General features: G+C 52.1%; 1 protein-coding gene across 16 annotated transcripts in view, besides 1 other annotated feature; it reads left to right on the top strand.

Moving 5' to 3' along the window:
• ATP2B2 (ATPase plasma membrane Ca2+ transporting 2) overlaps positions 1 to 25,367 on the top strand; it is a 384,094-nt gene that overhangs the window by 203,955 nt on the left and 154,772 nt on the right. The window lies entirely within an intron of this gene.
• Positions 21,450 to 21,951: an enhancer, noted in NCBI's record as "H3K27ac hESC enhancer chr3:10523895-10524396 (GRCh37/hg19 assembly coordinates)". NCBI's record gives its function as "activates a minimal SCP1, AML or CMV promoter by ChIP-STARR-seq in naive H9 embryonic stem cells {active_cell/tissue: H9 hESC(naive)}" and the evidence as "EXISTENCE:reporter gene assay evidence [ECO:0000049][PMID:30033119]".

The following is a 25,367-nucleotide window of genomic DNA, read 5'->3' as shown; positions in this document are numbered from 1 at the left end:
AGGAAAGATGCTGATGGCCACCATTATTTAGCCACCTTCACACCCTAGTCCCATTCACATCAGGGCATATGCATGCCCACAAATTCACACATATGCACAGATACAAATATAGTACCCATAAGTAGTGCGTCATATATGTCCAAATCATATATACACATATGGAATGCCCATGCCCACACCCCAGCACCTGTAAATACAACCCACGTTCCTGAACACCACATGCTCACGTGCAAAACACAGCACACACACGAATGCAGTACACACATACACACCTGTGCATGCAGCTTGCCCACACATGCATGTAGCACTAACACGGGAAAGCAGTAGGCTGCACACAGTGCCCTGCAACAGCCAGAAATGTGTGTACCCACCTGAGGGCTGGCTCAGGTGTGAAAACAACAGGCACACACATGTGGGGCTCTGAATGCCATCTGCGTGCCTGCCCGTGCATTGGCAGGCACATGGCATGCTGGAATGTGCCCACAGGTGAATGTCAGTTGCACACATAAGAAGACGGCCACAGGCACACAGATGCAGCACCTCTGCGGATGCTGCGTGCACACACCCGCCCCCTCAGCTTCCAGGAGGCAAGGTGGCTCTGTGGGTGCTAGGGAGAGCTTGCCCCTTAAGGGACTTCCGATGAGGACAGAGGGATACTGGATCCTAAGTGCCCGCCACAGCCTCACACAGGCGTTGGGGGAGGGCCAGCCCGTATTCCCAGGGAGCTGTGATTAGACTCAGCAAGGCCATCTTGGGTTATTGATGTTCTTCAGAGAAGGCTGCCCAAAGTTGGAAAGGAGACAGAGGCGGCCAGGGACGCAGCTGCTGCCCGTGGCCCAGACCGCCAGGAGCCCAGACTGGCCCCACCAGCCCTCTCCCTGGCATCAGGAAACCAGCCCGCTGCTATGGGGTCTCTGAGAGCTGGGGCCTGGAACACCTTCAGCAGACTCCAAAGTCCCCTCCAGACTGAAGGTCAGAGAAGCTGCTGTGGCTTACGTTGTATGCAGAGCCTGAAATGCTGGCACCCTCCTGTGCTGTCCCGCTGCCCTCCTCTGCGTTCCCCCAGCTCAGGCGCAGGTATGGGTCAGGGGACCCAAGTAAATAATAGTAATCCAGCTAGCATTCACCCAGCTAACTGCTTTGCACGTATCATCTCAGTGAGGACGCCCATAGCCCTGTTATCCCCACGTCCCAGATGAGGACGCTGTATCTAGAGAGGTGAAGCTGTGTCACCCAAGGTCACACAGCTGGCATGTGGCAGAGGGGAGGTAGAAGGCAGGCCACCAGGTGCCCAACTACCCTCTTTGACCCTTCGGCATGAGGCCAGTTCAAATTGGGGTACCAAAATTTTGGGAACCTATAGCTCAAGAACTTAGAATTTTGTGGCAAGATTCCGAGAAAGAGTGAAGAGGATCTCCTATGGGTGAAGGCGGAGGAGCCTTCCCCAGGCGGGCGTGGCCCTGACCTAGGCAGCCGGACCGCTGTGTCGTCCCTTTACCCTATGGAGTTGCTGATGCCTAGAAAGCCAAAGCAGACAGATGCCTTCTGAGGCCACCTAGCTGGGACCGTTTATAAAAAGGAAACTGTGGCCCAGCCAGGCACAGGGACTTGTCCAAGGTCACACCGTGTTCTGTAGAGACCTGGGCTTCTTGCAAGTGCTCTCAGGCCCCAGACAAGAAGCAGCAGAGGCCTGTGTTGGCCCCTGGTTTTCCCCAGGTGTTTGACTGTGGGTGGAAAGTATGAGAGCCCTGGGCCCAGCCCTGCTCCTGACCAGCTGTGTGATCTTGGCCAAGTCACTTCCTCTCTCTGCCCTCAATCTTCTCATCTGTGGCCAGGCAGGCCTATCTCTGCCCTGTTTTATGCCACAGCTGCCAGAGAGCCCTGGACACTGTAGAGGGCTGTGCACGAAGGTGTGATTGGCATCAGGATCAGGAGCCGGAGCAGGTGAGCACCTTGCTGCTGCAACTGGCCAACTCTGAGATCAGAAAGGGAAAAAAGGAAAGAAATCTCTAGTTTGCAGATCGGAGGTCAGAAAAGCTGCCTGTGGCTTATGCTATGTGCAGAGCCTGAAACACTGGCCCATCCGCCTGCTGTCCCACTGCCCTCCTCTGCCTTCCCCCTGCCCAGCCACAGGTATGGGTCAGGAAACCCATTAATGCATTAATTAACCTAAAGATCACCTGATGGGGGCAGATTTCTGGGCCCTACCTTGATGAATCAGGAGGTCCCAGGGGCTACATTTCCACAGGTACCCCTGGGTTTTCACCCATTTCACTCCGCACCCTGGGGAGCTGAGGTGCTTAAGAGTGGGCTTGGTGGAGCACATAGGCGCTCAGAGCTGGGGGTGGCCTAGACACCATGCTGTTCTGCCTGTACCTGTCACACGTGGGGAAACTGAGGTCTCCAGCCTAGTGGGTGACTGAATGAGACTGAAACTCATTTCCTCTCCCCACCAGTCCCCTACCAACCCCTAGCCCCTGGCTTCACCCTGCACAGCTAAATCAGGCCCTCCTGAGGACCGATGAACCCTCAAATCCAAAACAAGGCCATCTTCTCAGCAGACAGCTGGGAGCCATGCTCCAAGGGCACTCTCCAAGACCCCATCTCTACAAAAAATTTAAAAATTAGCAGGGTGTGGTGGCATACTCCTGTCGTCCCAGCTATGCAGGAGGCTGAGGTGGGAGGATCGCTTGAGTCCGGGAGGTCAAGGCTGCAGTGAGCCGTGATTGTGCCACTGCACTCCAGCCTGGATGACAGAGCGAGACCCTGTCTCAAAAAAAAAAAAAAACCGTTTAAAAAATGGGTTATGCTATGGAAAACTCCTGGGACCTCCTGCTGGGCAGTGTGGCTTCGGCTTCACCCCGGTCTTCACTTGACAGTCTGGATGGAGGCGGCGGGAGGCAGGGGGAAGCGGGAGTGACGGTAAAAGCCTTAGAAGTGTCATTCACAGTCTAGGAAATCTCTGCAGGGTCAGAGAGTTCCAGATATGTGGCCAGAGACCACGGCTGGCAGGACCAGGAGGGCAAGTGACCAGGCCCGAGCAGGGGCCACAGCTCAGGTTCCTAAAGAAACAGAGGTCCCTGGGTATGGGGGAGAGTGTGTTGGTCTGAGGGTCAGGAGAGCTGGGTCCCAGGCCGGCTCATCACTGGCGAGTGACCTTGGAAAAGCTGTGTAAGCCCTCTGGTCCCAAGCTCTCCCCTTGTGAGAGGGGTCAGTGATCCTGCCCCCCAGTGTCCTTGGTGAGGGCAGCTTCTCCTGCCCACTGCCCCTTGGGGTGAAGGGTCAGAAACACTGCAAGTCTCAGGAAGTAGCAAGGAGAGCAACTGCAGGGACAGCCCGTTGTGTTTGTTTTCTGTGGCTGCCATAACAAATGACCACAGGCTAGGTGGCTTCAAACAACAGACGTGTATTGTCTCCCACTTCTGGAAGCCAGAAGTCTAGAGTCAGGAGCCAGCAGGGTTGGCTTTTCCTGGAGAGGCTGAGGAAGAGCCTGTCCCTTGTCTCCCTAGCTACGGGCAGTGGCCAGCAACCCTTGCTCTTCCTCACCTTGTGGCTGCGTCACACCCATCTCTGCTTTCATCTTCACCTCACTCCTTCCTGTGTGTCTCTCGGTGTCCTCTCCTCTGCTTCTAAAGACATTGGTCATTGGATTTAGGGCCCAACCTAGACCCAAGATGATTTCATCTCAAAATCCTTAGCTAATTCCATCTGCAAAGATCCTATTTCCAAACAAGGTCACATTCTGAGGTTCCAGGTGGGCATGAACTTTGGATAGGACACCGTTCAACCCACTGCAGTCACTAAGATTTATGAGGTGTTTATTGCTCATAAGACCTGCACACAGTCTTATCTCTTCTTCACCATCACCCATTTTCCGGATTACAGAAACCAGGGCCCAGAGACATTAAGAATGTGCCCAAGTCAGGCCAGGCGCAGTGGCTCATACCTGTAATCCAAGCACTTTGGGACGCCAAGACAGGTGGATCACCTGAGGTCAGGAGTTCGAGACCAGCCTGGCCAACATGGCAAAACCCCGTTTCTACTAAAAATACAAAAAAAGTTAGCCGGGCCTGGTGGTGCATGCCTGTAATCCAGCTACTCAGGAGGCTGAGACAGGAGAATCATTTGATCCTGGGAGGTGGAGGTTGCAGTGAGCCAAGATGGAACCATTGCACTCTAGCCTGGGTGACAGAGTGAGACTCTATCTCAAAAAAAAAAAAAAAAAAAAAAGAATGTGCCCAAGTCACACAGCAAGTGAGGGGCAGAGCTGGGATTTGAACCCAGGTCCCTGGTGCTCCTTCACCTTTCCACCTTTTTGTAGCTGGCTGGGGGATGCCCAGAGACCCCTTAGGGCCCACAGCTAGGAATCCATGGGGCAGGAATTCCAGCCAGCCCTATGAAGACCCCAGGTCTGCAGGGGCTCCTGGGCACCAGAGAGAGGCTGGAGACAGGCAGGGGAGCTTCAAGGTGTGAAGGGGCCCAGCCGTGGTCCCAGGAGACCAACATGTGGCAGAGGATTGAGAGCCACAGTTCCTTGTCTCTGCCACTGACTCTGTGAACGTCATTGTGCTCTTCCGGAGAATAGGGGCAGCAGCACTGACTTTATGGGGTAATTGCCAAGTACCGAAATGTTCATCATAATAGTACTAATCGCTAAAATGTGTCCGCAAGCACTTTACAAATGCTTTTTGTTTTCCCATGTAATGCGTGGGAGGGGAATTGCTTATTCAGTCATGTGCGTTCGGTTGTGTGTGGTTGAACCAGTGACTTCGCCTCAGTTTGCTCCTCCGTAAACCAAGGGTTAGCTGAGCACCCATCTTCCCGGTTGTCACGTGAGGCAAACAGGATCCAAGTACAGGGCTTGGCCCGGGTGTGGTCCAGGTAGAGGCTCAGCGGATGTTTTCTTGCCTGTAAGATGGGATAGTGGTAGTATTATGATGATGCTATTATTTGTTGTATGAGGATTTGGTGAAGTAATGCAAAGGAAGCACTTGGCTCAGGGCCTCGCCAGAAATTGATGGAAAGTGGCCTCCTTTGTGGCATCAGAAAGATTTGAGTATAAATCCTAATGCCAGTGTTTACTACTGTGTGACCTTGGGCAGGTAGCTTTGCTTCTCTGAGCTTGACATCCTGATATGCAAAGTGGAGTGGGAAAAACCTGCCTCACAAGATTGTGCCACGAGATGATGGGTAGGTAATGTCTCAAATGGAACCCTCATCATGCCAGGCATTCGAAATATGTTGAGCTTCTGCCCTGCTTGTGGGCATCTTAAAGATGTCCCCAGAAGGGGCACATCCTAGTCCAAGGAGGGTGGATTTGATTTGGGAAAATTGGGAGCAGTCGTGCCATAGTGGAGCATATGGGATTGGTGGAGCCTATGGGAGAAGCAGTGAATGGATGACACCGTTTGGGGTCCAAGCACCATGTAGCTTTGAAGGAAGAAAGCAGGTCTCTGCAAGCTTCTGTGCTGCCTCTGAAGGCAGTTTCCTATAAAGTGGTGCCTTTCCTGTGCCGGCTGGGCTACTCTACCGGGCCATGTCTGGCTGCCCCGGGACCATTTTGTGGGAGCCATGGGGGCGTCATCTGGATGAACTCATTCTAGCCCAGCTCTGTCAAACACCTGCCTTGCAGGCCCAAGGGAGCTGTGGAGGCAGTGGGCGGGGAATGCTGTGGCAGCCATTTGGGGTGCCTCCTGCATGCCTGAGGCATCCACGCTGAGTGAGGCCCCCAGGCTCATCCGGAGCAGAGGGTGCTGGCCTCCAGCTCACTGATCCTTCTGAAGTTTTTTGATCTGTGCCCATGGGCAGGGCACGCCATCCTACGTGGGCCTGACTTAGCGTTGATGTAGCGCAGTAGTTGAGGACAACATCTGGGCCCAGGCTGCTTGGGGTCACATCCAATGCCTGGCCGCTGACCAGCTGCATGTCCTTAATCTCCAAGCCTCCGTTCCCTCCACTGTCAAATGGAGATGACAACACTGCCTGCCTCATCAGGCCGTTGTGTCGGAGACTGAACTGTGCGGATTCCAAGATATACATTTTGACATTTCTGAAGCCAGGTTGTGCCTGACAACTGGTGTTACACCACAGTGGAACCAGCCATGCCTTTTATTTCTTAAATATACGTAAAGTAGTGATACAGGTTAGAGTCAAGAAAATATGATAAATAAGATCAGTTTTATAAGGGGCTCAGAACAGAGCCACCAGGCTGGTGGGAAGAAGCCAGGATTGCCACCTGCCTCCCCAGCTCAGTTGCGGTGAGTCCCTCACTGGGTCCTTTGTGTCCACTCTGAAACAATCAGCAAAAGAACACCTGCTTGCCGGAGCAGCTGTGAGAAGTCGGCAAACTTTTGTGTGTATTACGTGACCAGCAGAGTCCCCATATGCAGTAGGTGCTTAATAAATGGCCGTGCAAAACAAACAGCAAAGACCGTAGTACAAGGAGGAATTTAAAGCATAGACTCTGGGATTCTAATTCCTGCTCCACCATTTCCATGCTGTGTGACCCAGCACAAGTTTCTTAATTTCTCTGTGCCTTAGTCCCACCATCTGTAAAATGGGGATAACAAAAGTGTCCAATTCATAGGATTGTTGTGAGGATTAAGTAAAATTAAAGTGCTTAGGACAGCCCTTGGCAGAAGTGTAAGCAATTATTATTTGATGAACTTTAATGAGTCTCTTCTAGTTCAATAAATGATACTAAAATAAACACTAGGCTCAATAAAATAATAGCAGTTGAGGCTGCACTTGCTTTATAGCTGAGAAAACCAAGGGCCAAGAGGCATGCTGGTTTGCCCAGGATCACACAGCCAGCTCCCAGCAGACTGGAACCACAGCCCAATGTCCAGGCACCAGCCCAATGCTGCCTCTTTGCCCATGTTGGTTCAGGACTCTTTCTCTTATGGAGAAAGCAGTTCTTGCCATGGAGAGGAGGGTTTCTAGAAGAAGCCACCAGCAGATACATCACCAGTGCTTCAGGGATCCACAGGGTAATTAGGGCCCTCATTAGAAGTCGTTTCTGTCTTCCCTCAATTTTCTGCCTGACCACCACAAACAGTGGAAGGGGCCTAACTGGGATGCCCACCCTGCCCACAGCTGCCCAAGGTCAGCAGAGCCTGCCAACCATCCTGCAAGCCCACCAGCCAGCACTCTCCTGGCCTCCAAGTGGCTTCTGCAGAGTTGACACAGCAAAATTCCCTCCTGGAGACAGCAAAAGCCGTGGCTGGCCCGTTGGTCCAGCCACCAGACAGGCTAGGGCCACAAAGTGGATTGGAGTTGGGGGGAGGACAAAGACCTGGGTGCAGCCAGCCATGACAAGCACTTCAAGTGACCTTGGACAAGTCACAGTCTCTTTCTGAGCATCAGTTTCCCATCTTTGAAACAAGCCTTTTGGAGCCAGATGGGCCCCCTGAGACTTTAAATGTCTAAAATTCGAAGCTGCCTGGACATTGCTGATGTCCAGGTCACGGGGGAAGGGGCGGGGTTGGAGGGGTGGAGCTAGTGTCTGCGTGTGGAGTGCAATGTGTGTGGATCTTGGGTTGGACTCACTAGGAGCAAGCATGAGACAGCGCTCAGGAGAAAGGGGCTGAAAGGAAACAAGGTAGGGAGAGAAAGAGATAAACAAGCGTGTGGCCTCAGCTGATCCCTTGGGGGATGTGGGGCATGAACTGCGCCCCAGGTTTGGCTCTGCCTTGAAGCAAAAAAGCTGGCCTTTCATACCCCATATCAGATAGTTATTGGCCACGGCTGCCTTCTGAGTGGGATGCTGTGTGCAATTGCCCGGGCAGGAGCTCCTGTTCTTCCCAGGGCAAGCCTGCAAAGAAGGGGCAGCCGGGAGCTCTAGCTCCCAGCAGCTGGGGTGTGGAAGCTGCAGACCGGTAAGGAGGACTAGGGTGGGCACCAACAGTGTCCACTCTGTTATGTGGATTTGGGATGCAAAGGTTGCTGGGTGCCAGTCTCTTCCTAGCAACTATCTGAAGGCAGCAGATTAAGAGCTCTTTAGGCCACTTCTAAATTTATCAACTTACATGACTCACTTCAGATTAAAATGAAGCCCTTCTCCCCATCCCACCCCCAGCCAATTTCAGATTTCTGAGCTCAGAGCATCCTGAAGAGGGCATAGAATGCAAATCAATAAAACCAGTATTAGCTAAGTATTTGGTGTGGACCAGGCTGTTTGTCGGGCTCCTTGCTGAGCTCAGAGATGAATCAGCTCCAGAAACAACTCCTGCTGGGAGGCGGAGGCAGCCCCAGGTAGAAGGTGGTATACGACTGCGGGTGCCCTGCCTGGGGGCTAGGCCATGAATAACTTCCAGGACCAAGACTCAGCCTCACCACCACAGTATTTAGAGCTTCCAGAGCCTCAGTTTCCTTATCTACAAAATGGGGTCAGTGTGGTGAAGAGTATGTGGCCTGGGCCACTCCTGCACTCAGGGAGTAGCAATAAAATTAAGCGAGACCTGGCACTGGGACCCAGGGCTGTTTCTAGGCACTTCTCTGCCCTCTCAGAGGCCTGAGTCTGCCCCATGACCTCAGGGGAAGGAAATTCTGAGCTGAGTGGAGACATCAGCTTCCCTGGCCCTGGGAACGTCTACAGTGGGCTTCACTACAGCCCCCGGGTAACCTGTCATAACCAAGACAGCTCTCGTTTAGCGAGCAATTTCGATGCTAGGGGCTCCGTGTGCAAAAGTTTCCTTTACTCTCACCACTGCGACTGGATCCATTTACAGATGAGCAACATGGTCTCAGAGATGTGGGATGGCTTGTCCAAGGCCTCTTGAATAGCCCCTCTGCTCCTGCCCCTTTGCATTGGACCTAAGAGGAGACTGAGGCCGGAGAGGAATTGACCAAGGTTGCAGAGTAGAGTCCAAAGCCCAGCACCCTGTCCATGGTATTAGCCCCTCCCCCAACCCTCCAGGAAAAAGGCGTGGCTTGGGCCAGACGTCAAACTGGGAATAGGGTGATTCATACCTGGCCCATGTCCCAATGCAACTGCCCACGGGGACAAGTTCAGGGTGTCCTTGAGACTGACTCTTCAGCAGCAACAGGCCTGGCCCCCAGGAATTGACCATGTCCTTGGTCTTTATCCTGCCTCCCTACAAGACAGCAGGTGACTCTTGAAGGTTTGGAGCCACACTGGCTCCACATTTGGGGAAGAGGTGGTTTACATGTCTTAAGCACCTGCCAGCTGCTATTGAGGAAACTGTGGTTCAAATTCCAACTTTGCCACTGACAAGCTGTATCCCCCTCAGTGAGTTACTGTTCCTTTCTGAGCCTCAGGGTTTTGACCTCTGTCTTGGGGGGAAATGACCATAGCCATTGTGGAGATGATTCGAGATATGTACGTAGCCCCCACCCAATGCCGAGGGTGGTGATTATCACCCCAGGTAGCAGCATGTGGGGCTGAAGGCCACTCTGTAAAGGAGACATTCTTATTACACTGCACAGATTCTCAGAGAGGTCCAGGGACTTGTCTCCAGTCACACAGCAGGTTAGCAATAGAACATGATTGGGTGCTGGTCAGTTAGTGTCCTTTGAGCAGTGTGTTGTGGTGTTCTTGAGGCCTCAGAGGGCAGCCAAGGGCACTTCCCAAAGAGAGTTTTCTTCTGCCAAGGAGATTAAATCCCAGGATGCAGAATTGTGGCATCTTAACTGGAGGAGAAGGCACAGGGCAGTGGTTAAGAGCAGCCCCTGGAGCTTGAGGGCCTGGGCATGATTCCCCAACACTTCCGAGCTATGTGACCTTGAGCAAATGACTTAACTTCCTGTGCCTCAGTCTCCTCGTCTGTAAAATGGGCAAAAATACTAGTACCAACCTCATGGGATTCTAGTGCAGATTAAATGAGTTACATGTAAGGAGCCTAGAACCATGCCTGATGCAAGGGAATCTCTATGAAAAAATCAGCTATCAGTGGTAGCAGCAGTCGTGGGATCAGAGTAGGGAGGGAGCACCTTTCACCATCTCTCCCTTAATCTCACCCTAGCCTTCCCCATAGACCCCCCATGGCCACCAGGAGAAACTTCTCAGAATGTCCACCAGGCCTGTCACTCTGGTCAAAGTCTTCAGTGCTCCCCGTTGCCAAGTGGATAAAGCCTAGACTCCTCGGTCTGTGTCCAGTGCATTTGTGATGGAGTGCCTGTCCCCACCCTACCTTCCCAGCCCCACACTTCACCTTCATGCCGCTTTTCCTTTGTCAGGTCAGTTAGAAATGTGGCCATGTGATATGAACTGGAGCACAGGCCCTGTTCACACTGACCCTTTTCCCCACCTCTGAGACTTTGCCTGACTTTCAACCCCCACCTAAGGGTCTCCCCCTTCTGAGGGCCTTCCTGCCCCTCTCTTTGTTGTAAGCTCCTGGGCAACACACTCTGGGCCTCTGGAGTCATGATCTCCAGCCAGTGTGTTTTGTTTGTTTTTGTGTTTGTGTTTGTTTTCAGTGATTTCATTAGAACACTGTTGAGTGCATGCATGTAGAATAGATGAAGGGAGGGGCCTTCCCTACTGGTCCCCCAGATCCTCTCTTGCCCTTTCAATCGTCTGTTCTTCCTGCGTGGCCAGAGGAATCTTTTTTAAGAATATATATCAGATAGTAGTGTTCCTGCTTGAAACTCCACAGTCCTCCCCTTGATGTACAGGAACAAGTCGAGACTCCTTTCTGCAGCCTGTAAGCCCTTCTGGGTCTGACCCTCATTCCCCACCCCTCTCCTGGCTTTCCTCTCGTTTACTGCCCTTCTTTCTGTACCTCAAACTCATCAGCCTCTTTCCTGTCTCAGGGCCTTTGCACATGCTATTTCCCCATCTAGACTACACTTTCCCCTTCGGTTTATTTCATAGATTCCTTCTCATCAAGCTGAGTGGTAATTCCTCATTAAGGCCATCCCTGATCTATTTAAAAGAGCTCCCCCACCCCCTCACCTATATTCCCTGTCATGGCACTTGTTTTCGAATAGCATGTACCACCCTTGACATTATTTTCTGTATTTATTCCCTTGTTTGTTGTCTGTCTGTCTTCCCTAGACAATCAGTAGCTTGAGGGCAGGAAGCATATCTGTCTCATTCACTTCTGTATTCAAGGGCCTAGGACAGGGGAGGTGCTCAGCAGATTTGTGTGGAATGAATGAATGAATGAATGAATGAACAAATGAATTGGCCAGATATGGAGAGGTGGTACAGGGGAGGCAAGAATAAACCCAGAACAGCCCTTCTCTCGAGGGAGGTAGTGGGAGCAGAGGAGGAGGCGCCATCCTAGAAAATGTCCTTTGAAAGCCATCCTGGGTGGCAGCCTCGGCCAAGTTCAAGTTCCATCTGCTCTCTTTTGCGCAGCTGTGAAAGGGACACCAGTATCCTCCCTCACCATCACACTTGACCCGGTATCTGCAAGACAGGAGAGAAATGACAGTGGAGAGGTTGCCTAGAAACCCCCGCCTTGATCCACCTGCCTTTCCTGAGTCTCTCTGGACACCCCAGAGGGAGAAGGAAGCGGGGTGAGAGGGAGAGCATGGGCAAAGGGGGTGCAGTCGCAAATGAGGCAGCTGCAATTCACAGTCTCCCGTGGCATCCATTCTAGCTGGGGAGAGGGCCAGTGCAGACAGAAGCTCATCTGGAACAAGTCTGACATCAGGTAGCAGCCATGGAGGGAGGCCAGAGAAAGAGGGCAAGGCTCTAGATTGGAGGTGGGGCTCAGAGAAAGAGTCTCCAAGGGAGGAAGAGCACTCAGCTGTCCCGTTCTTTGGAAATTTCGGCTTTGTCGCATTGTTTGTGGCTCCACTGTGTACTTTCCAGCTTAAAGAGCCCTTAATGAGGGGTTTGGGGGCCAGGCCTTAATAAAGGGAAATTTCTGCTGATTAGACCCATGCAGGCCAAGCTCTGGAAAGAGACTGGTGCTTCTTGCCTGGTGCTTACCTGCCCCACCCCCCGAAAAGCCCCCAGCTTCTCCCCCAGCAGAGCACCCCGGAGAAGCCAGCAATTACTGTGTCCCCAACCCACAGGGTGGCCAGAAAAGAAACCAGGCAGCAACAGCTTGGAAAACCCTATTTTCCTTTTTTAAACTACAGTCATTTGAATTACAAAAATAATGCATGCTTGTCGCAACAAATGGAATGATACAGAAGGATCTATGGCAAAATGAATAATTTTCCTCTCCTCACATCCCACATTTACCTGATGTAACCACACTGTCGATACCCTATTTTGTCAATTCTGGGATGCACTTTTTTCCCCGCATTTTAACATCTCTGAAGTCAGGATATGTCTTGCAGTTGACAGCACGTCATAGTTTTATTGGAAGTCCTTTTTTCTTTCTTCATGGTACATAAAATCATGGCTCGACTTACCATTGGACTTAAATCTGAGGAAATCTGGTAACTTGTTTCTTTCTCTTGTTTGTTCTTTCATATACTGGCAGATACAAGTTTGGAGGGGGTTCATTTCTTTTTTTAATGGTATCATTTTATGTGTAGCCCACAGCTTTATTTTGTCACTTAGCAATGTACCATGGCCATCCTGGTGGCTCAGCAGTCATGGAATGAGAAGTGGCAGAAGCCCGTGTAGATGACAAGGACCTTGTTGCTGCCAGCCCTACTGTTTGCCAGCTGTAGGATACCCGCTATGGGCCCCATTAAGGAGTGAAAGAGCCAGGCCAGGCGCATTGGCTCAAGCCTGTAATCCCAGCACATTGGGAGGCCAAGGTGGGCAGATCACTTGGGGTCAGGAATTCCATACCAGCCTGGCCAATATGGTGAAACCCCGTCTCTACTAAAAATGCAAAAATTAGCCGGGCATGGTGGTATGCACCTGTAATCCAAGCTACTCGGGAGGCTGAGGCAGGAGAACTGCTTGAACCTGGGAGGCAGAGGTTGCAGTGGGCCAAGATGGTGCCACTACACTCCAGCCTGGGTGACAAGAGTGAAACACCGTCTCAAAAAAAAAAAAAAAAAATGGAATGAAGGAGCCAGCACATGTGCAGTGCCCAACACAGGCGGGCTCCAGGTGAATGCCCGGAGTCAGAGCTTCCCTGTGGAAGGTGTGCCACAGTAGGATGCATTGTTGCCCCCTCCCCAACCAAGCACCCCTGAGACCCAGAGCAAGGGCAGGGACTCTGAGCTCAGATTAAAAGGTCAGATGCAAAAGGTCAGCTAAAAACAGCCACACAAAAACAAGAGCAGAAGGCAAAGTCAGAAAACAGGCTCAAAGGTTAGAAGAGAAAACAGCATAGCAAACAACACAAAGCTGAAAAGCTGCTTCCTTCACCCCCAAATCAAATAACAGATATTTTTAAATATCAACAGGAGCAGATAGAGGCTTCTTACTAAGGAGAAAGTCACAGAGAGGCCAAAGTGATCTTCCAGTCCCCCTGGCTCCACCCCTGCCAGTTGCAGGAGGCCCAGGTCAGCTACATGCACCTACTGGGTGCAGCTCCTGAGCTCCCAGTCTGTAGGATTTTCTGGATAAGAATGCTGTGGATTGCTGGGCGCGGTGGCTCACACCTGTAATCCCAGCACTTTGGGATGCTGAGGTGGGCAGATCACTTGAGGCCAGGAGCTCGAGACCAGCCAGGCCTGATCAACCTGGCCAACTCTACTAAAAACACAAAAATTAGCCAGGCATGGTGGCGTGCACCTGTAGTCCCAGCTACTCAGGAGGCTGAGATACAGGAATTGCTTAAACACAGGAGGAGGTTGCAGTGAGCCGAGATTTCATCACTGCTCTCCAGCCTGTGCGACAGAGAGAGACTCCATCTCAGAGAAAAAAAAAAAAAAAAAGAATGCCGTGGACTGACATGTATTGTTCCAAGTGTTTTGCTTGACTTATTTGATTACAATATCCCTCTAGCAGTTATTATTCCCATTTTACAGATGAGGAAATTGAGGGTCATTGATACACAGTGACCTGTCCATGGGCACTGAGCCAGCTGGTTTGACCGTGAGGTCAAGGGCACTAGGACTCAGACCATGGGGTCTAGCAGAGAAACCAGTAATTGTAAGTCAGTGTAATAACAGCCAGGCTGGAGGAAGCCAGGGGGATGCAGGAGCCCAGGGGAAGCCCTGGCCTGTTGTCGGGGCTGTCAGGGGGCAACCTCAAGAGGGCCCCACGAGGGCAAGTGGAAGGCTAGCTAACAGCCAGCCAGCTGGAAAAACAGGGGACCAGGGAGGGGTGCTCTAGGCAAAGGCACCACTTGAGCAGGCACTGAGGCCACCACCAGTAGTGCAGGGCAGAAGGCACCAGGCCGGGGTGGCCAGCGCTTGGCAGGAGAGGTGGCCCGGCTAAGCCCAGGGCTGCAGGCTAAATGGTTGTAAGTTGAGGAGTGATGTGGCCAGATTGGCCCTTTAAGAGCATCCTGCAAGGACAGTGATCCTAGTGAGGATAATGGGTTGGAGGGATGAGGCTGGAGGCTAGAGGCTGGAGGCTCACGGTGCAGCTGGGGTAGGGCAGAGGCTGAGTTGAAGGCAGGTTCCCAGGAGAGCAGGGCATGGGATGGGCTGACAGGGCTTTGGGACTGATAGGAGGCAGGGAGAGGGGAGGCATGGTGAGTCACAGCAGGCAGTGAGTCCCAGCTGGTGGCATTCAGAAAGGGACAGAGATGGTGAGAAGGGAAGTAGTCAGAAAAAACCATGAATCCCATCCTGGGAAAGGGCCTGCAAATCCATTTAATGAGAGGCCAGGAGGGTTATGAACAGACACATTTGGGAACCACTGGCAAAAGGCATATGCAAGTCCTCCATAGAATGAAAGCAACCAGCCTTACCTAAAGGGGCGGGGAGCTTTCACTCATTTAGCAAACGCTGTCTGGGGGCCTACTGTGTGCCAGGCAGTGGGGATACCACACTGAACACAACAGATCTGTTCACTGCCCTGTGGAGCTTGCATTCGAGCAGGTGGAGAGAGACCATAAACAAAGACATAAATGAGTGGATCGTCAAGGAGAAAAATAAAGCAGATGAAGGGAGATGAAGAGGGTTGTTTTGAATCAGGTCAGGGAAGACTTTCCTAAGAAGGTGGCCTTTCAGCAGAGACCTGAGGGAGCCTCATGGCTGTTTGGGGCGAGGGTTTCAGACTAAGGAATGGCCAGTGCAAAGGCCCTGACATGGGGACATGCTCAGTGAGTTGGAGAAACAGCAAGGGAGAAGTGGGGTGGAGGAAAGTGAGGAGGCAGGGGTAGGAGATGAATTCAGAGAGCTGACAAGTTGGGGGCCAGGATCACGCAGGGTCTCGTGGGCCATCACAGGGACCCTGGCTTTTCCTCGAAGAATGACAGGAGCAACAGGAGCCTTGTGAGCAGAAGAGGGACTTGATTTTTGTCTGACTGTGTGTGGAAAACAGACTGTGGGGGGTGAGGTGAGAGGAAGGAGAGCAGGAAGGAGGCTACTGCAATGAGTGTGGTGAGAGAGGATGGTGGCTGGGACCAGGGTGGAGACTGGAGGTGGAGAAAGAGGGTCACATTCAGGATAGCTTCAGAGGTAGAGCAGACAGGATTTGCAAGGAGGTATTTAATGAGATAATTTTTATTTTAGAATTGAAGAGTTGGGTTGACCCCAGAACCTAGCGCATTGTCTAGAACCTGGTAGAACCTGGTAAGCACACAGTAAATATTGAACCACGGAAGGAAGGAAGGAAAGGAAGGAAGGAAGGAAAGAAGGAAGGAAGGAAGGAAGGAACGAAGGAAGGAAGGAAGGAAGGAAGGAAGGAAGGAAGGAAGGAATTTGTAGGGTGGTGGATGGATGGATGGATAGGTGGGTGAAGAGATGAATGGGTGGGTGGATGGGCACATGGATGGATGGATGGGTGGATGGATGGATCGATTTGTGGGTGAGTGAATGGATGGATGGATGGATGGATGGATTTGTGAGTGAATGAATAGATAGGTGGGTGGGTGGATGGATGCATGCATGGATGGATGGATGGATGGATGGATGGATGGATGGATGGATAGGTGGATGAGTGGATGGATGGATGGATGGATAGATGGGTGGATGGATAGATGGGTGGGTAGATGGATGGATGCATGGATAGGTGGGTGGGTGGGAGGATGGATGGATGGATGGGTGGATGGATGGATGGATGGCTGGATGGATGGATAGATGGATAGGTGGATGGTTTGGTGGAGGAGTGGAGAGAGAGATGGATGAATGAGTGAGTAGATGGGTGGACAAAAGGATGGAGGGACAGAAGAATAAGTGGATGGATGGGCAGGAAGATATGTATATGGGTGAATGGATGAATGGGTAGAAGCAAAAAGATAGTGAGGCAGAGAGAGAAGAAAACAAGTGGACTTCGATTGCCAGAATAAGTAGAAAATTTTACTCAGAGGCAGTGGGAGCCATTGCAGGTTATTGTACAGGGACATGACAGGATGCGAGTACTGTTGGAGGCACTTTCAGATAGTGGCTTTCAGTGGTGCCTGGCACCATGGCCCAAGCTCGTGATTCCCATGAACATTAACGGCCAATTCTCTCTGTTTCCTTTCCCGCTGTCTAACCCCTCATCCTCATTCATTTATTCATTCGCAAGTTTTCATTGAGTACTTACTCTGAGCTGAGGGCACTGGGGACATGATGTGAATAAACCAGACACAGTCCCTGCCTGTAGGACACATTCTTCAACCCCCATCAGGGCTGTGGAACTAAAGACTCACAGGCCTTTGTGGCCCACTGGCTTCATGCTGAGAATTGATGAGTTGCTCTCTGCCCTTGCCAGTGACCTTGACTTCCCACAGCCTCAGTGGAGATCCTAAGGTAAGCCAGGCAGGACCTGACAACTGGACTCATGACCCTGGTAACCCCTAGCATCCTCCTTCTAGCACAGGGCTTTCTTGTTTGGGGTTTTTGTTCTTTGGTCTCATCTGGGGATTTGTTTTGGGGTGTATATCTGTGTTTGTCTGTGTGTGTGTGTCTCTCTGTATGTGCATGTCTGTGTGTGTGTGCGCACACACATGCTTGTGGGGAGAGGCTGTGCTAGGAATGTGTAAAGGAAAGGAAGGGACCAGCATGTTTCAGGCTCAGTACATATTATTTGTTCCTGTAGCAAACATTTCTTGAATGCTTGCTACATGCTGGGTACATTTGAGGCAGTGGGTACATAGTGGTAAACAAGACAGAGGAGTTCTCATTAATAACTAAGATTAATAATTCTGGCTGGGGCTGGGCGCAATGGCTCACGCCTGTAATCCCAGCACTTTGGGAGGCCAAGGCAGGCAGATCACTTGAGGTCAGGAGTTCGAGACCAGCCTGGCCTACATTTAGTAGAGATGAAACCCCATCTCTACTAAAAATACAAAAATTAGCTGGGTGTGGTGGCTCGCACCTGTAGTCCCAGCTACTCAGGAGGCTGAGGCAGGAGAATTGCTTGAACCCAGGAGGTGGAGGTCACAGTGAGCCAAGATCATGCCACTGCACTCCAGCCTGGGCGACAGAGTGAGACTCTATCATCATCATCATCACCATCATCATCATAACAATAATTCCAGCTGGGGTGATTATTATAAAGAAAATTAGTGAGAATCGAAGGGGCTCCCTGCCACTAGCGTGGTCAGGGAGGACCTTGCTAGTAGGTGATGTTCAAGATGCCACCATCTGGGGAAGAGCAGTCCCAGCAAAGGAGTCAGCCAGTGCGAAGATCCTGAGGTGAGAACATACTGGGCACGTTTAAAGACTCCAGCTGTTGTGACTGCAGCAAAATGTGTGAAGGGGAGAGAGGTAGATGATGTGGAAGAAGTAGAGAGGGGCCTGATCTTTTGGTGCTTTGTAGATCACCCTGTGGAATTTGGGGCTGATCCTGACATAGGAGCATCTTATGCAGGGCTGAGACACACACACACACACACACACACACACACACACACGCACGCACACACACCTGGCTGCTGTTTGAAAAACAGATTGTCATCTCATTAAATCCCTGCAACAGTTCTAGGCACTTGATGGTGAAATCCCCATTCTACAGACAGAGAAACTGAGTCGCTCAGCTAGTGGGTGGCAAAGCAAGGTTAGTTTGACCAAATCTTATGCTCGATGAGCGGGCACCCACAAAGCCTCCTGGGCAGCAGAATGATGTTGTATGAGTGCGATGGAAGCATGCTGACCTGGCCACTGGCTGAGGGGAGATGCCTGAGTCCCGGCACCTGACTTGGGTGCCTCCATGCCCACTTGTGGCCTCCTGTCCTCACTTACCACCCCTCGGCCCCATGTCGCAATGGCGCTGGCTGAGTTTCATGATGCCCTGGCCCCCACATCCGCTCAGGGCCATTGTGGGGTGGGTGCTCAGAGCATGGATCTCACAGGGTTCTGGCACACAGCACCCTCCCAGAGCAACCCTTCCTGACTCCCAAGAGCACAGTCTTTACTCAGGGACAGCCCTGAGCCAGAGCCAGGAAGCCCCAACCTGAGCCGGGAAGGCAGGCCTGAGCCAGAGCCAGGAAGCCCCCACCGCACAAAACATCCAGACCTCAGACCCCAGGCTTTGCGATTCTCTGCAGAGGTGAGTAGGCAGATGGACAGGCTCTCTCCCCACTCCACTCCCGCGTCACCACCCCCTTCTCTGGAGAAAATCTGGCAGTGAGCAGAGTAAATTTGGTGTCTTTGCTCTGATTCACAGGGGCCTGCTTTAGAAAGCTCCATACGGAGGCAGGGAGAAGCGGAGGGAGCGGGCGCAGGAGAGGAGCCTGCTGCGGGACTGCCAAGGCGAGAGGAGGCTGTGCCTGGGTGTGCCCTGGCTTGCCCTGAGCTCCCGCAATCCCCCACCTCCTTTTCCAATCCCTCTGCTCACCCTTTGTTCCTTCCTGTGCCCTCGCCCAGCACAGAGCTCAGGGGCAAAGCTCCCAGCCCTGTCACCCACCAGCTCGGCAACCTCACCTCTCTGAGCCTCAGTTTCCACAGCTGTAAAATAGGGATAATAAACCTTCCCGACAGGACTTCAATGAGAAAACCACAGAAGGAAGGCACCCTTGGTGCCTAGCACATAGTAAGTGCTGATTTTAAAAAGCAGGTGCCACTCTTCTGGTGGTGGTGATGACTTTGGCTACTGGCCTCCTGAAGACCCCCTCACCTCTTGTCCCCTGCCCCTTGCCTCTGTCTCCCTCCTCTCACACCCCTTCCTGAAGGCACACAAGACCCAGACTGAGCCCTCAACCAGCCCCTTTCACAGAGGGGGTCTGCGTCAGGTCAGCTTAAGGCCTGTCAGTGCCAGGCACTGTGCCCAGGGCCTTCTTATTCTCACTTTTCCAGTGCAAAGGAAACAGCTTCAGCCCATTTCACAGCTGAGGAAACTGAGGCTCAGCACTGTGAAGGAATCTGCGCAGACGTGAGCTGGTACCCAGATGCAGAACTAAGTAGGACACAGACTCATTGCTTCTCCTTCAGGGGATTCTTCCCTGGCTGATGGTTGAGGTTGTATTATATCATGGGCCTCTGGTGTGTAAGATTTCTTTCTGCATCTGGAGGCAATGTACTGGTGCACTGCGCAATTCAGCTACAGCCTCAGAGTTACGGCTCAACCCCCAGGGCCATGGGGGCCCTGCAGGATGTGAGGCAGGGCAGGGACAGGGCTGGGACGTGCAGAGACCAGCCCACTGGCAAGTGGAGTGAAAACGCAGCATGGGAAGCCTGGGGACAGGCCGTGAGGAACTCATACAGGCAGAGGGGTGGTGGCAGCAGCAGGTGGGTCATGGAGAGCTCAAAATGCCACAGAGACCCCCGCGGCCAGCAGTGAGGTGGCTGTGGGGGTACGGGGAGACACTGAGGGCATCCCCAGGATCCTCACCTGCATGCAGACCCCTCAGCCTGTCCCTTCTAGAATCTCACCCGAGGAGCCTGTGCCCACGGGAGAGGCAGACAGTGGCCAGCAGGGAGGGGGCTGTGTGTTCACCCCTCAGTGAGCTCTTTAGGATCTGCCCCCAAGGTGTTCAGGTCACTCTCTCCTGCCCTGGAAGTCTCTGGTCCCTGGAGATGCCTCCAGAGTTTCCAGGAACTCAGTTTTTCTGCACCCCTCCTGGACTCATCCCCAGGGACCTTGGGAAACCCAAAGCCAGGGCCAGCACCATCACGATGCTTCAGACCTTAGACAGCACCCCGCCAATGCTGCCTGTCACAGCAGAGATGGACTCAGAGAGGCCTAGTCGTTGCTCAAGGTCACAAAGCAAGCAGGTGGCAGAGAAATGGAGCCTGGGCTTGTGACTCACTCCCCAGGGGGCATCTTTCTTTGTTCTTCCATGAATCCCTCGAGGGGAGACCCCTTTATCCCTGGACCGCCTTGATCCCTGGGCCTCTGGGTGCCCGGCCCTGTGCCGGGGGCTGACGCCAATGCACCGGCCCCCAAGTCCTTCCGTGGGTGGCTCCAGCATCTGTCTGGACTGGAGAGGGCCAGTCCCACAGTTTCTTTTTGGAAGTTTTTTCCGGAAGGCGTTTGGAGGCCAGCCAGTGGGTCTTTTCCATCACCATGGAAATTTCCTACCATAGAATTATTAAAACCTCCCGTGGCCCTTCTCCCACCTCACTTTGTTTTGAAAAACATCTCCTTGGTGGCCAGGCAGGGGACAGAGCAGCTGAGATCCTAGAATTAAGCCCGCAGAGAATTCCCCAGTAAGAGGCTTCCAGGTAGATCGCTCATCAGACTCAGGATATTCTGGTTTGGAAATCCAGGCTGCCCCTCAGGAAGGGATTCCAGCCACTCAGGGCCAGGAGCCAGGATTGCCTTCTGCTCTCAGTGCTCGGGGTGGTGTCGGCACAGACCAGGCCAGGGCCTTGCCCATTGTTGCCATTCAAAAAATGTGGATTAGTTGTTAGATAGGTAGGGACACAGGTAGGTTGACAGGAAGGAAGGATTGGAGGGAAGGCGAAATAAGACAGGTTCCCTTAGGAGTCCTCCCTGCCCTGGGACCTACGCCAGTCATTAACTCCTCTGCTGTACAGCCTCGTCATCTGTAAAATGGGGACTGTCACACCTATCCTACCAGTTGGCCTGAAATAAGAAGCAATGTGTGTGCAGGGTCTGACTCCAGAAATGGCAGCAGTTTTGTCGGCCCCGACATTACCCTCACCAGGGAGAGAAGGTAGGATAGATGACACGTGAGTGAGGGAGATGGACCTGAATCCACCTCTGGGAATCCTAACCCTGCCCCTATGAGCTGTGTCACGTTGGGTAAGCGACTTCACCTCTCTGGGCCTCAGTTTCCTCATCCATGAAATGGGTAGAAAATACAGTGCCTGCTGCACGGGTTGGTTGTCAGGGTCCAGTGGGAGGAAGCATTGCTTCCCCGAGTGCAAATCCCCTTGTTCTGACCTGGATGGGCAGGGCCCTCATGCACAGGCATGTTCAACAGGGCTGGGAGCGGTGGCAGGCCTGGGATGGCAGACGGAGGCCTTTCCTTCACTGCAGAGGGATATATCCTTCTTCAGTTTAGGCTCCTGTGGGTGAGCAGAATTCAGACTTCCTCACTCTCAGTCAGAAGGCTCAGGTGGGGCCCAGCTGAGAAGGCAGCTGTGACTGGCGAGGCCTCAGGGGGGAGACCTGGCACTGGTGGGGCCTGAGCCAGAGGTGCCCCAGGGACACACAGGTCAGGGAGACCACCTGTGCTGGCCACCATGCTCTAGGGTTCCAGCCTTGGGGCAGCTTGACCCTAGCCATGGCACTGCCCTCTCTCCCCTTCTCCTCACCATCAGCCTGGCCAGGAAAGGGCTGCCTTAGGCCATTGCTCACACACCCAGGTGAGGCATGGAGGGATGGCCCAAAGGTGGCAATTGAGGCAGCAGGGGCCCAGGATCAGTTGGCTGAGTAGAGCAGACAGTGACAGAGGTGTGCTGTGGAGAGCAGTTAGGGTGTGGCCTCTGGAGTGTGGTAGAGCTGGGTGCCAGTGCTGGTGCTCTGCTGCCCTCACCATGTGGCCTGGCAAGCAGCTGAAGCTTCAGGCTTCTTATCAGTAAAATGGGGGCAACAGTAAAGCCCACCCCCAGGCTGGCTATGAGGATGCCATGAGACAGAGCACGTAAATGCAGCCCAGGGCCTGCGCTCACTCATCCACTCAACTAGACATTAAGCACCTACCGCGCACCAACACTGAGCTGGGCAGTGGGATTTTACAGCAAATGAAAGCAGTCTAGGGGGACTAACGTGTCCAGGTTTGTCTGGGACATTCCTGATTTTAACACTGAAAGTCCCACATCCCAGGACACCCCTCAGTCCGAGGCAAACCAGGACAGTTGGTCATCCTAACACAATCTCTGCCCTCATGGATTTACAGTTTAGTGGAGGGACATAGACAATAAGTAAATATATAACATCATAGTGGGTGTAAGTGTTATTTTTTAGAATATAGCAGAGGTGGGACATGGTGGCTCACACCTGTAATCCCAGCACTTTGGGAGGCCAAGGCGGGAGGATCACCTGAGGTCAGGAGTTTGAGACTAGCCTGGCCAACATGGTGAAACCCCATCTCTACTGAAAATACAAAAATTAGCTGGGCGTGGTGGCGGGCGCCTGTAATCCCAGCTACTCAGGAGGCTGAGGCAGGAGAATCACTTGAACCCAGGAGGTGGAGGTTGCAGTGGGCAGAGATTGTGCCATTGCACTCTAGCCTAGGTAACGGAGCGAGACTGTGTCTCAAAAAAATAAAATAAAATAATAAAATAAAATAGAATATAGCAGAGTCAGCGGGAAGAGCGTGATGACAAGGCATCTTATTTTTGATGGGGTGTTCAGGGCAGGGCTCTCTGAGGAGGTGCCATTTGAGCGGGCACTGCCTGAGGTGGGGGACTGAAACGTGCAGACATCTGGGGGAAGAGCACTCCATGCAGAGGAAACAGGGCAGGCAGAAGCCCTGAGGTGGAGTATGCTGGTGTGCCGCAGAAACAGAAAAAGAGAGGGGGTGGGGTGAGGGAGGATCAGCCAGTTGGATTCATTGGGACTACCTTTAGAAGCAAGTGATATAAATACCAACTCAAGTTAGCTTATAGCAAAAAAGATGCATTGGCTCACCTAACAGAAAAAAATTGGGATTGTTGGCTTCAGGTATGGCTGGATCCTAGTGCTCAAATGAAGTCTTTCCATTTCCCAGCTCTGCTTGCCTCTGTGTTATCTTCATTCTCAGGAATGTCCTGGTAGCCCCAGGCAGACTTCCTACCAGTGTGTAACTGAACAAAAAGAGAGGGTCTGCTCTGAGACTAGGTGGCAGGCGGGATGAACTGAGATCTGGTGCGGGTGGAGCAGATAGTGGTGTGAGATAAAGAGAGGGAGGGGTGACGGGGCCCTCTGGCCCTGGCCTTGCAGACCCCACTGAGGACTTTAGCTCTGCATGTACTGGAAGCCACTGGGAGGTTTTAAGCAGGACAATGATGTGATCCAATTTATGTTTTAGGAAGATCATTCTGGTTGCCATGTGCAGAAGGGGTTGTAGTGGGGAGGGGTCCTCAAGGGCTTGGCGAGGAGGCTAATGCAGTAGGCCTTGCGGGCACTGATGGCAGAAGGGGAAATGGCGAGAACAAGATGGACTTGGGAGGAACCTAGGAGAAAGTCTGGACCAAGCTAGGGGTCTAGGCTGGGGCTGCGGGTGCTGACAAAAGCTTGACAGGGTCTTGGGCCTGAAGGAACTGGCATATGACAGGGAGTTCTGTCCAGGAACAAGGCAGGAACTAGTCCCACATAGGCGCGGGGCAGTTCTCAAAGCCTGTGTGCTTCAGAAGAGACACTCAGGTCTCCCTGTACCATTCTGGGGATGTGTCCCTGCCCAGATCTGGCAGCTTATGGAGAGAAGACTGAGGCCCAGATACCCCAGGAGGGTTTGGCTGTATTTGGGAGTGTGGCTGGGATCAAGGTCAAGGTCATTTATGGAGCGCCTATTTGGTGCTCGACACTTTCATATGCATCATCTTTTCTAATCCAGCAACGCTGTCGGTCGGTGTTGTTAGCCTCATTTTACTGATGAGGAAACTGATTCTGAGAGAGGGCCTGCCTGGGCATTTGTTACATAATAAGTTCTCAGAAAACCCAAAATTTATAGAAAGTGAATACACCCTTCCCCCTGGAGAACGTTATAGTTCCAAGGGATCTGAGAACCTTCACCTTGGGAAGCAAATTAGTGAGGCAGGGTCTCACTCTGTCACCCAGGCTCTGGAGTGCAATGGCACAATCATGGCTCACTATAGCCTGAAACTCCTTGGGCTCAAGCAATCCTCCCATCTCAGCCTCCCGAGTAGCTGGGACTACAGGCATGCACCACCACGCCTGGCTAATTTTTGTAATTTTTGTATTGAGAGACAAGATTTTGTCATGTTGCCCAGGCTGGTCTCAAATTCCTGGGCTCAAGCAATCACCTTGGCCTCCTAAAGTGCTGAGATTACAGGCATGAGCCACCAAGCCCAGCCAGAATTAGGCTTTTTATTCAATGCAAATTAGCCTTTCCTCCCTCTCTCTCTTCCTTTCCTCCTTGAACTACTTGCAGATAATCTATTATGTGCTAGACACTGCTAGGCCCTAGGAATACAGTAGTGATGAAAACGTAGACACAGGCCTTAGTGAAAGGAGACAGACAGTAAGTATATATATAATATGCATAATAGCTATAACTGTTATTTTTTAAATTATTGCAGAGTCTGGGCCTAGGAGGTGGTGATAAGGGTTCTTATCTAGTCAGTGATCTAAAATCAAACAATCCAACAGTCACACAAACATGTTTAAAATACAACCAGGATGAGTGTGATTTCGTAAGTAAATCAGAGAAGGCCTCCCAGAGAAGTTGGGATTAAGCTGAGAACAGGAGGAAGAGTAGGAGTTTACTAGGTGATGATAGGGAGGGAACAGCATTCTAGGCAGAAGGAACAGAACAGACAAAGGCCATGTGGTGGGGGACAAGCAGAGGAAATGAGAGAATGGGGTTCTTGGGGGCTGAAGGAGCAAGGCCAGGCCACCCAGTGCTTTGAAGATCACATGTGGGAGTGTTTTCTTTATCCCAAAAGCAAAGTGGGCAGGAGGATGCTGTGATGTGATCAGCACTGCTTTTCCAAGTGGCAGCAGAGAGGCCAGTGTATTAGTCTGTTTCCACACTGATATAAAGAACTATCTGCAACTGGGTAATTTTATTTTTAAAAAGAGGTTTAATTGACTCACAGTTCCTCTTGGCTGGGGAGGCCTCAGGAAACTTACAATCAGGGTGGAAGGCAAAGGGGAAGCAAGGCACATCTTACATGGTGGCAGAAGAGAGAGAGCGCCCAAAGGGGGAAGTGCCACTTTTAAACCATGAGATCTTGTGAGAACTCACTCACTATCATGAGAATAGCATGGAGAAAACCACCCCCATGATCCAGTCACCTCCCACCAGGTTACACATGGGAATTACAATTCAAGATGAGATTTGGATGGGGACACAGAGCCAAACCACATCAGC

This window comes from Homo sapiens, chromosome 3, assembly GCF_000001405.40.
Source record: "Homo sapiens chromosome 3, GRCh38.p14 Primary Assembly".
Taxonomy (NCBI): Eukaryota; Metazoa; Chordata; class Mammalia; order Primates; family Hominidae; genus Homo; species Homo sapiens.
The sequence above is the reverse complement of the archived record's forward strand: the minus strand, read 5'-3'. Positions and strand labels throughout refer to the sequence as shown.